The sequence below is a fragment of the Homo sapiens genome, chromosome 2 (genome assembly GCF_000001405.40).
Source record: "Homo sapiens chromosome 2, GRCh38.p14 Primary Assembly".
NCBI lineage: Eukaryota > Metazoa > Chordata > Mammalia > Primates > Hominidae > Homo > Homo sapiens.
In genome coordinates, this window is record NC_000002.12 from 172,786,950 (window position 1) to 172,799,140 (window position 12,191).

A 12,191-nucleotide genomic window follows, 5' to 3' on the forward strand; every position below is an offset into this window, starting at 1 on the left:
CTGTAATTCTAGCACTTTGGGAGGCCAAGGCGGGTGGATCACCTGAGGTCAGGAGTTCAAGACCAGCCTGGCCAACGTGGTGAAACCCCATCTCTACTAAAAATACAAAAAAATTAGCCAGGTGTGGTGGCAGGCACCTGTAATCCCAGCTACTTGGGAGGCTGAGGCAGGAGAATTGCTTAAACCTGGGAGGTAGAGGTTGCGGTGAGCCAAGATTATGCCCTTGCGCTGCAGCCTGGGGGACAGAGTGAGACTCTGTCTCAAAAAATAAAAATAAAAAAATTTAAAAACCCTATTCCTTTTAAGATTATCAATACATTCTAATAAAATGGTCTTTTTTGATACTGCTAATAGACATTATTACCATTATGATTTATATAGAACTTAAAATAATTTTATGTCAGAAATATTTTTAGTTTTAGCCTTTTGCTAACTTAGATGGGTTGTCCTCTGTCTAACTTGCTGTCAGAAAGTTTTTGATGACTGTTAAATTCATCTTGGAAGAGCTGAGGAACCATGAGAAGAAGAAAAAAACAAAACAGGAATACATAGTGATTCGAGGGTTAATAAGAAATAAGACCCAACTAGTATTTATTGGATGAATGAATAGATAAATGAAGGTGACTGTTTGGGCTGCTAAAACAAAGTGCTTTATTTATTTATTTATTTATTTATTTATTTATTTATTGAGACAGGGCTTCACTTTGTCACCCAGGTTGGAGTGCAGTGGCGTGATCATGGCTCATTGCAGCCTCAACCTCCTGGGCTCAAGCAATCCTCCTGTCTCAACCTCCTGAGTAGCTGAGAACACAGGCATGCACCAAAATGCTTGGCTCATTTTTAAATTTTTTGTAGAAATGTAGTTTTGCCATATTGCCCAGGGTGGTCTTGAACTGCTGGGCTCAAGCAACCCTCCCACCTTGGCCTCCCAAAATGCTGGAATTACAGGTGTGAGCCACCATGCCCTGGCTAACAAAGTACGTTAGACTAGGTGGCTTATAACAACTGGAATTTATTTCTCATAGTTCTAGAGGCTAGGAAGTCCAAGATCAAGATGCTGGTAGATTTGGTGTCTGGTGAGGGCTGCTCTCTAACTCATAGACAGCACCTTTTTCTGTGTCTTCACATGACAGAATGGAGAGCTAGTCTCTGGGGTCTCTTATAATAGCACTAATCCCATTCATGAGGGCTCTGCCCTTACGGTCTAATCACCTCCCAAAGGCTCCACCTCCTAATACCATCACTTTAAGGGTTAGGATTTTAACATATAAATTTCGGGGACTTAGGACACAACATTTAGACCATAGCAGAAGGTCTCTCCAAGAAAAAATTTACATGCATGAAACATGAAATAATAAATAATGGGGTTAGATGCCAAAAAGAGATGTTATCAATTGGATTTCAGAGAAGAGAAAACGTTGTAAGGAAAAGCTCCAAGAAGGGAGTGAAATCTAAGCTGGGCCATAAGGAAATCAGTCAGTGTGAGAAAATAACTTTGTGTTAGTTTTCTGTTGCTGTGTAACAAATTATGATGAACTTAGCTGCTTAAAAAAGCATACATGTATTATCTGTCTGTTTTCATGTGGCAGGAGTCTAGGCACAGCTTGTCTGGATCCTCTGTTCAGAGTATTAAAGGCTGAAATCAAGGTGCTCCTGGCCAAGCGTGGTGGCTCACATGTAATTGCAGCACTTTGGGAGACCGAAGCAGGAGGATTGGTTGAGCCTAGGAGTTCAAGACCACCCTGGGCAACAAGGCGAGACCCTGTCTCTACAAAAAAAATAAAAAATAAAAAAATTAGAAGAGCATGGTGATGCACACCTGTAGTCCCAGCTACTTGGGATGCTGAGGTGGAAGGATCACTTGAACCCAGGGGGTCGAGGCTTCAGTGAGCCATAATCATGCCACTGCAATCCAGCCTGGGTGACAGAGTGAGACCCTATCTAAATAAAATAAAATAAAATAAAATAAATAAATAAATAAGAGGTGCTTCTTTCTGGAGCTCAGTTGACCTCTTTGAAGCTCACATCATTTTTGGCAGAATTCAGTTCTTGCAGTGGTAAGCCTGAGGTCCTTGTTTTCTTGTTGGCTGTCAGTCAGTAACTGCCCACATTTCTTGCCACATGGCCCTCTCAGAGGCCCTCAGGCAACCAGGGCAGCTGTCTTCATCAGTGCCAGCAAAAGAACCTCTCACTCCTTCCATTCTTGTTTAAATATCTCACTTGATTAGGTCAGGCCCAACCAGGAAAACCTCACTTTTGATTAACAAAGTCAACTAATTCTGGGCCATAATTACATCTGCAAAATCTCTTCACCTTTGCCATACAGCATAACATAATCATGAGAGTGATCTCTCTTCACTTTGCCGTATTCTATTGGCTAAAAGCAAATTGGAGCTCCCACCCGGCCTCAAAAGGATTATACAAGGTGTGGGTCATAGGGGGCCACTTTATGATCCTGCGTTCTACAGTGTCTTTGTTTACAAATGATTCTTTTTAAAATTTTTATTTTATTGTGTTAAGAACACTTACTATGAGATCTACCCTCTGAACCAATTTTTAAGTGTAGGATATATTTTTGTTGGGTATAAGTACAGTGTTATACAGCAGATCTCTAGAGCTTATTCATCTTTCTTGACTGAAACTCTAGGTCAGCTGATAATAACTCTTCATTTCCCTTTCACTCCAGTCCCTGGTAGCCACCATTCCACTCTTTTATTCTATGAATTTGACTATTTTAGAAACCTCATAAGTGGAAATATGCGGTATTTGTCTAAGACTGGTTTATTTCGCTTAGCAGAATGTCTTCAAGGTTCATGCATGTTGTCACAGATTGCAGAATGTCCTTCATTTTCAGGGGGTAAATAATACTCCATTGTGTGTATATGTGTATTATTTTCTTTATCCATTTATCTACTGATAGGCATTTAGGTTGTTTCTGTATCTTGGCTACTGTGAATAATGCTGAAATGAACATGGAAGTGTGAATATCTCTTCAAGATCCTGATTTCAATTCTTTCAGATAAATACCCAGAAGTGAGATTGCTGGATGAATGGTAGTTCTATTTTTAACTTTTTGAGGAATCTCTAAACTGATTTTCATAGCAACCACACCATTTTAGATACTGACCAACAGTGTGCAAAGTTTCCAGTTTCCTCACATCCTCACCAACATTTTTTTTTTTATAATAGCCATCTTGATAGATGTAAGGTAATATCTCATTATGGCTTTGATTTGCATTTCCCTGATGATTAGTGACAATGAGCACCTTTTCATATCCGTTGGCCATTTGTATGTCTTCTTTGGAGAAATGTCTATTCAAGTCCTTAGGCTATTTCTTAATTAGATATTAATTTTTTTAAATACCAAGTTGTAGAGGTTGTAAATGATTCTTTTGTTGTTGTTTGAACATGTTTTAAAAATGAAAGTTTTTAAAAAGTCATTTTTTATAAAAGGCCCTGGATATTAGATGCCAGGCTAAAGAAAATCAATTCTCTGTACTTGGAGCTTTTGCTTGGGGACCAGCTGTTCATCGTTATGAAGGGAGAAGAAAGGAGCCTAGAGCGAGCTATAATTAGAGAAACCACATCATCATTTTGATATACTGCAAGAACTTCCTAACTTCCTCTTGGCTGTTGATCTTGACTGTCTCCCATCTGCTAATAGTCACAGTCAAGGTGATCTTTCCAAAATGCATATCCAAGCATGCCACTACCCTGCTTAAAATGCTTCTGCTGATTATTGGACAGAACCCTCCTAGGATAGGACTGCCATGCTGTTCAGATTCATGTCTCAACATGTGCTTTGTGCTTCATATGCCCTTTATCCACGCTCAATGAGAGAGTGGCGTAAGGATTAATGGAGGGATGAATTTGAGAGACATTCACAGGTAAAATCACCGGGATGTGGTGAGGGAGAGTGTCTTGGTCTGTTTTGTGCTGCTATCACAGAATACTGGAGACTGGGTAATTCAAAAAGAACAGAAATTTATTTCTCACAGTTCTGGAGGCTGGGAAGTCCAGTATCAAGGTGCCAGCATCTATCTGGTCAGAGTCTTCTTGTTGTGTCCTCACATGGTGGAAGGTAGAAAGGGGTGGGCCTATTCCTGCAAGCCTTTTTTATAGCAGCATTAATCCACTCATTAATCCACAGATACTGCATGAAGGCAGAGCCCTCATGACCTAAGCACTTTTCCTTAAACTCCACCTCCCAACATTGTTGCACTGGTGATTAAATTTCTGACCCATGAGTTTTGAGGGACCAAATAGCAGAAGGAGTAGGCTCACCTCTATGCTATTTAGACCATAGCAGAGGGTGAGTCTACTCCATGCATGGAAATAAGGGGGGCAGGTGCAGTAGCAGATGTGGGAGAGAAGATAAGTTCAGTTTGAGGTCGCTGTAGAAGATTACATGCAAGGACTTTTTGTATGGTTGGCCCTGTTTCGGGCACTGTAGGATCGATAAAGGAGGTCCCAGACATGAACTCTAGAGAGGTGAGAATATACATTGCATTATGAAATTAGAGATTCACAAAAGGATTATCACTGGTGGTAGTTTCCAGAGATCGAATAGTAAAGGTGTCTGTTAATAGCCAAATGAAATTTTCCCCACTCCATGAAGTACCCAATAAAATTAATGACAGATAGAAGGTTGCTTTTCATTGTTTCTGAGGCTTAAATATTAAACAAGAATGACATCGTTAGGGCCTAATTTGGGGGCACACAAAAATATCAGGAGAAGAGATTTCATTCTTCTCCCAGTTATCTCAAATTAATTTTGTCTTTCCAAGTGTCTTTTGTCATTTAACAATCTGGTTCTGAAGCTTGAAGTTCTTCTGTGCTTGTTTTGGACTGTATAGAAGTACCTACATTTTTCTTCTACTGTTTTCTCGTGAGTGTCAGGCTAAAAATCTTTTTAGCTGCCCTAGTCTACACTCCTAATGTGGGAGATGCTCTGGTGAGAATAAACAAAAAGGCATGCTCTTTCTTTCTTTGTGGAAGATGGATTCTAATCTCTGTTTGTCTCTTTTCCTATGTAGCTAAGTAGAATCTGCCATATCAATGTCCAGTCAGTTTCTAGCTCATCTAGTTCTTATGATTCCTCCCACGGTCACTTGCATGCTGCCATTGCTTTGGGCCTGTGGCTGCTACCAGTGCTTCTGTGGCCGCAACCTGACTCCCTGCTGGCACCAGCACCAGCTCTGCCTCCCGGGAAGTGTGCTTTACTGTCTGGGATCCCCCAGTAGGGGCGCCTCTGCCAGCTGCTGCTGTCCTTGCTGCCCCCCAGACACACCAAGACTGAAAGTTATCTGCACCATTGTCCATACCACCTTATTAACTGCTGAAGTCCTAGTCTCTGTTCCAAAGCCCCTTAACTTTGAGGACATAGTTTCTGGTAAGGAGTTTAGAAAGCCCTTCTGAAGGGGTAATAGGAGGAAGAGGCACTGATACTGATGTGTTGTATTTCCCCAAGTCAAGCCTGCACATCTCTCAGTGCTTTCAGGCATGCTGTCATCTCAGAGACTGGGCACACACACATCAGGATTTCCCTTCCTCTTCCCCAGGAAGCAGAATCCAAACCCTTCTAGTAGGGGTTTGTTGGGAGGCCAGGGAGGTTGTGGGCATATTCTTTGAATCTAGTTTTCTTGGGCCTAAAAGTGTGATGGGGTGAAAATTGAGCAAGATGAAGAGCTTTTAAACTAAGCTCAGGAAAGCCTGTATCTTAGGTCTTCCACTTAGTGACAGATCATCTACTCATGTCCTCTGAAAATGTTCATCTCTCATGATGGAATCTGTCTTCTGACAATGTCCCAAGTCCCTTGAACTCTGGCCTAGCTAGTCTTGACTTCTGTATTAGTCTGGGTAATGCTGGGTGATGCTCTGATAATGTACCTGCCACTTACACAGAATCTTTTGTGGGTTGTACATTCTTCTCCATCTTGTGGCTATGGCATGTAAAACACATGCCTCCTGTCTTAGTTTCCTAGGGCTGCTGGAACAAGATACCACAAACTGAATGGTTTAAAACAACAAACACTTTTTTCTCTCAGGGTTCTGAAGGCTGGAAGTCCAGAATCAAGGTGTGGGAGGCACATGACTTCTCTGAAGGCTCTAGGGAACAATCCTTCTTGTCTCTTTCTAGCTTTTGCAGGTTGCCAGCAATCTTCGGCATTCCTTGCTGGTGGATGCATCACTCCAGTCTCTGTCACCACCTCCAAATGGCTGTTTTCCCGGTGTCTCTCTGTCCAAATTCCCCTCTTTTTTTAAGGGTGCTAGTTATTAGATTAGGGCCAACCATAATCCAGTGTGACCTCATCTTAATTTGATTGCATCTACAAGACCCTATTTCCAAAGAAGATTACATGCACAGGTGCTGAGTATCAGGTCCCTGATGTATCTTTTGAGGAGACACAGTTCAACCCATAACACCCTTCAAAGTTGTTCCTGAAGAAGAGAGGCCCCCGGCTCTTATCAGTCTCACCTCAGAATAAATATATGCTAGTTTTGTTCTCAGTCCAGCCCCAACATAACTACAAAGGAGGCTAGTACATTCATGGGAGCACATGGCTATTTGGTGAACATTACTTGTCTCTGTCACATCCTCATCCAGTTCGTTTCCTCTGATCCCAGAATGCTCTGGGGAATACATGATAGTTTCTATATAATGTGAAATATCCATCAAGAACAGCAGTGGGTTCCTGCAAAGCACATGGAAGGAACAGACTTGGAAAATTGCTCAAAGAAAAGAAAAAAATAGTTTATGTAGTGTGTAAAACTGTCTTATTTTTGTTTGGTTCTTTGATTTATCTTAATCCAGAGGTTATGAAATGGCAGTCAGCAGGTTGCATCTATTCCAGAGATTTTTTTTTATGTGTGTGGCCCACACAGTGTTCAAGAAATATGAACAGACTGGGCATGGTGGCTCATGCCTGTAATCCTAGCACTTTGGGAGGCTGAGGCGGGAGGATTGCTTGAGCCCAGGAGTTTGAGACCAGCCTGGGCAATATGATGAAACCCCGCCAGTACAAAAAATTAGCTGGACGTGGTGGAGTGCACCTGTAATCCCAGCTACTTGGAAGGTTGAAGTGGCAGGATCACTTAAGCCCTGGAGGTCAAGGCTGCAGTGAGCCAAGATTGCATCACTGCACACAGCCTGGGTGACAAAGTGAGCCTATAATCCCAGCACTTTGGGAGGCTGAGGTGGGTGGATCACCTGAGGTCGGGAGTTCAAGACCAGCCTGGCCAACATAGTGAAACCCCATCTCTACTAAAAATACAAAAAATTAGTTGGATGTAGTAGCGGGCGGCTGTATTCGCTTGAACCCAGGAGGCAGAGATTGCAGTGAGCCAAGATCATGCCATTGCACTCCAGCCTGGGCAACAAAAGTGAAACTCCATCTCAAAAAAAAAAAAAAAAAAGAAAAAAGAAAAAAGCAGACAAATGTCCACACACCTAGATTTACCTTGAACAATGGGAAGATTTGACAACATCTGGGCTCACATTTACACAGAAAACTAAGAAGAAGGAAAACAGCCAAATAAGAGCTGCTCCCTGCGGACAGTCCCGTTTGCAGTTCACCCTGATGCCCACCATTCCCTGGAGAATCACCAACACTGAGGCTGTCACTTCTCATTTGTCTTTGTGATTTCAGTGTTGTTTTCTTAGAGATTTTTTTCCCTTATATCTTGCTCTTTCTACCCACTTCCTTTATCTCATTGGCCCCTGCAGGCATTTGTGTTTGTGACTTCATTTTTTAGTAGAATCTGCATTTTCATGTATCTTGTGCTTCTAAGGGATTAAGTATTATACCAGAGTATCACCTTGAACTTAGCACTCTGAGGTTGACTCCTGCTGTAGCATCTGCAATAGTAGTGATTTAAGGCGAATAGTTGGTAAAGCTCCAGAAATGTCTGTATTAGCCCAGAAATACCTATAAGGGGGTGGATAAATATTTGCAATGAAATATTCACAAGTGGGATATTTGGGTAAATTTGAATATAATTAAAATGAGGCCTGTTGATTCACTTTGAGGTAAATCTTTACTGACATAGCTTTTGTGCCTTTTCTCCCTATACAGACCACTGGAGCGATCCAGCGAAGATGTGGATATAATCTTCACTCGACTGAAAGAAGTTAAAGCTTTTGAGAAATTTCACCCAAATCTCCTTCATCAGATTTGCTTATGTGGTTATTATGAGAATCTGGAAAAGGGAATAACATGTAAGAAATGCAACTCTTGTAGTATATTTCCATGTATGGTTTATGCTGATTTGTGGTTACTTTATGGAGATAAATAGCAAATGGAGTATTTATGTGCTAAATATTTGAGCTTCAACCAAAAGTATTAAGGTGACATTTCCCTCTAGTCTGTTTATTCAGTTGCATGTAGGTGTTTCCCTAACTCCTTTGTTCACAGAACGTAAATGGTTCTTCCAAGGCAACCAACTTTCTAGATGGAGCTGGAGGGATGTAATGTTTCACACATTTAGCTATATCTTTAGAAATTCACATAATTGTCTTCTCTAATCCAAGAAATATGTGGCCAATAGGATATTAAGATAAAAGTTCTCTTAACTAGTGCTGATAGTAATGTTTTGAATTAATGCCAGTAATATCATCTATTCCAGGTGTGAATAAGGGGCAGGGAGATAGAGTAACAGTTGGATTTTTTAAAAAGTATTTTTTCATTAAAGAAGTAATAGTTCTTCTGTTGGAACACTTTATGCTGCACTCACAGAAAACTCCCTTTCAACTAATTGGAATATTCAATGACTTATACAAGAAGAAAAAAAAATCAATTACTTATACAGAAGAAGTCCTGAGGTAGAATGACTTCAGGGTTGGTTAGTGAAGTGACTCAGTGAAATTATTAAGGCTTCAGGTCCTTCCTGTATTTTTTGTTTTTGTATGCATTCTGAGGTGTTGGGCTTTGTCCTCAGACTTGTCCCAAATTGTTCTGACAGCTACAGCTGTTGGATGCATTATTTACTGATACAAAAACATCCTGCTGAAGGACTATTTCTTTCTGGGTCTCTGTTTTAGAAGTCTCCCAGCAGCCTTCTTGTATTGACTCATTGGCCAGAAATGCATCACATGCCTAAGTCTAAACCAATCACTTGCAAAAATAATGGGATCACCAGGACTGATTTAGACCAATCATGATTGCCCTAGTGGAGCTAACACCTAGCCCTATAGATGAGGGTGGAAACTTGTCTAAAACCTGGGTTCAGTTAGACAAGAGGGCATGAGTGTTTCTGGGTGGGAAAGCAACAGGGTGAGTCACAACGTTATTGTAGAAAATTTAGAAGGTCAACAAAATAAAAATCACCTACAGTTTCTACCATTAATATTTTGTGGGCCAGGCACAGTGGCTCACGCTTGTAATCCCAGCACTTTGGGAGGCTGAGGTGGGTGGATCAATAGGTCAGGAGATTGAGACCATCCTGGTTAACATGGTGAAACCCTGTCTCTACTAAAAATACAAACAATTAGCCGGGCGTGGTGGCAGGCACCTATAGTCCCAGCTACTCAGGAGGCTGAGGCAGGAGAATTGCTTGAACCCAGGAGGCCGAGGTTGCAGTGAACCGAGATTGCGCCATTGCACTCTGCGCTACTCTAGGCTGGAGTGCAGTGGTGCAATCATGACTCACTACAACCTTGAACTCCTAGGCTCAAGCCATCTGCCCACCTCAACCTCCTGAGTCGCTAGGACTACAGGCATATGCCACCATGTCATCATTAATTATGGTTCCCAGAAGCTTGCTCTTCTCCAATAAGCACTAGCCTTGCCAGGACTCGGTTGTCCCACGAGCCGTCATGTGATTTTTCATTGAGTTACTTGACCTCTGACTTTAAGTGTGAAGAGGATTTTAAAATATCAAGTCACTCCATCTAGTTATTTAGTTAGGATATTTAAAAGGACAGTTAGTTTGCATGAGATTTTTGAACCAGTGTTTTGGAATTACTTTCCCAAACTTGGTCTTAATATGATATGGGAAGTATGGTTCTATCTAAATACCTAAATATTTTCTCTCTGAGAGGGACAAACTTAGAGCAAGATCAGGTTCAAAAATTTCTGATGAGGATCATTTCTAAATGCTTAAAAGCAGTGAATTTATAAAAAGAATAAGAAAATGGACAATGATAATATAGTAGTTAAAATTTTTAAACAAAGCAGATTTTGGTTTTTTAAATCAATCATTGGTCACCTTAAAAGGAGAGGTGCTAGTCTAGAAAACACATTGCTTTTAATATAGTCTTGGGAAATATCAGCCAATTCTTCTTAAATTCAAAGGATCTTATAACATTTAAAGTTATCATCTTTATTACAGCTCTGTAAGTATGATAGAGTTCTCTTTAATAAGGTTCCACTTCACAGAATATTGAATAAATAGGATATAGCTTTGTTGACAGATGAGGTAAAGAAAAACATGTTATGTTCCTGTGGGCAACAGATAGGGGAAGGGTGGTAAGCTCAGTTAGGTCCAAGACATGCTTGGACCAGTGAAAAACTGGCAGATCATATAGTAAAACCAAGTTGTATCTGTTATATTTATATCACAATTTTTTTTTCCCAGTATTTCGCCAGGGTGATATTGGAACAAACTGGTATGCTGTCCTGGCAGGGTCTTTGGATGTTAAAGTATCTGAGACCAGCAGTCACCAGGTAATATGGTCTATTTTTTTGAAAGTAGGATTTATTTTTTTTAAAGACTTATTATCCCTATGTCTTTTATGCCATTAAAATTACATTTTCAAGTCCATTTCCTCTTTCCCACAATAAGGAGTTCAGCACTGTTTGTTGGATTCCTTTATTAAGTTACTCAACAAACACCTATTGAATGTCTTCCCTGATTTGAGTATGGTGCCAGGTGTCAAAACATGAAATGCAAGAACACATTGGGGCTGCTTTCTAGGAGCTTGAGGTCTATTTGGAAATGCAAGCAATTTCAGTGTGACACAAATTGCTGTATAGGGTGAAATGTGAGTGAAGGAGAAGGAGAAGTCTTCCTATGTTTCCTCTTGGATCCTTTCTCCATCTTTGTATCTTGAATTTTCTTTGTCCTAGAAGTGATCCCCTCATCGGCCTTGTAGGAGATCTTGTGATGCAGGGGATGTGTGGCTGTTGCAGTCCCCCTGAAATCTCTATTTCTCTGCCTTGTCTTTTCAAATGTGGAAGGCTAATAATATTATTTTCCCTCTAAAGTACAGCACTGGCTTTATTTTCATTAGTCACCTCTGAGGAGTTTGGCATCCTAGTAGATGAAACTCATTCTTTTTCTGTTCACAAGATTTATGAATATTAAAAAAACGAAAACAAAATTAAAAAAGAAAGAAAGAATATTAAAAAAAGAAAAAATATATAAATATTTAAGTCGAACCCAGGGCCTTCTTTCACATCTGCAGTGACTCTTGCTCTGTCATTAAGACAAGTGGCCAAAATGTACACAACCTCACTGTTTAGAGCCAAGAATCTCGAGTCTGAAAAGTATGACCCATAAAAGGCCACCATCAGGTATCACTATGAAAATGTTCCAAGTCTTATTTCCACATATTCAGGATTCAGAAAAAAACTGAAGGAAGAGAATCAGTTAATTGTGAAATCTGAAAGAATTGTCCAAAAAAATTAAAGAATTATTTAAAGGGACAAATAACCTTCTGCCAAGTGTCATATTTAAGGCAATGTTTTGGAGGCTTTTTCATAGGTAGCACACTTCAAATGTGAGAAACATTTATGACACACCAAATTTGAGGTTTACATTTTTTAGGAACTTGTATGTGTATTGAAGTTGTGGGCAGTCACCATCTTAAAAATGGAGTGGTATCCCAAAAGATTGCTGGTAAGGTGTGCATTTGGAATTTGCGATGTAGTTTCCTGGGTGATACCCATTGTAATGGAGGGTTAAATTCTCAGGCCAGTGTCCAAATCCTGTGTAATCCATAGCATACTCTTTCTGTGCATCAGTGCATGAAAATTCCATTAGACACAGCCTGGAACCTGTGCTTCCCAACTTTGATGGTACTTTTCCTCTTGCTGTCTCTCACAGGGCTGGCTTTCTCTTGGATTTCAGAGACAGTCAAGGTGAGAGGTGGGTTTTGATTCTTGTAAGCGGCCTCAGTTTCGAATGGGAAGGAGAACAGTTAGCATTTCTTGGATATTTGCCATATCCTATATAATCAAGATATTTATCCA

General features: G+C 40.5%; 1 protein-coding gene across 21 annotated transcripts in view; it reads left to right on the forward strand.

The window, feature by feature from the left end:
• The window catches only part of RAPGEF4 (Rap guanine nucleotide exchange factor 4), a 317,576-nt gene that overhangs the window by 51,632 nt on the left and 253,753 nt on the right, over positions 1-12,191 (forward strand). For 20 of the 21 annotated variants that reach the window (NR_164739.1, NR_164740.1, NR_164741.1 and 17 more), the window contains exons 2-3: positions 8,076-8,218; positions 10,576-10,664. Coding sequence is in view for 15 of the 21 variants with exons in the window: in NM_001375864.1 (NP_001362793.1) it covers positions 8,076-8,218; positions 10,576-10,664 (232 nt within the window). In the remaining 6 variants the exon portion in view is untranslated. Of the gene's footprint in view, positions 1-8,075; positions 8,219-10,575; positions 10,665-12,191 lie in introns of those variants that run through there. The other variant, XM_047443028.1, reaches the window with a different exon arrangement.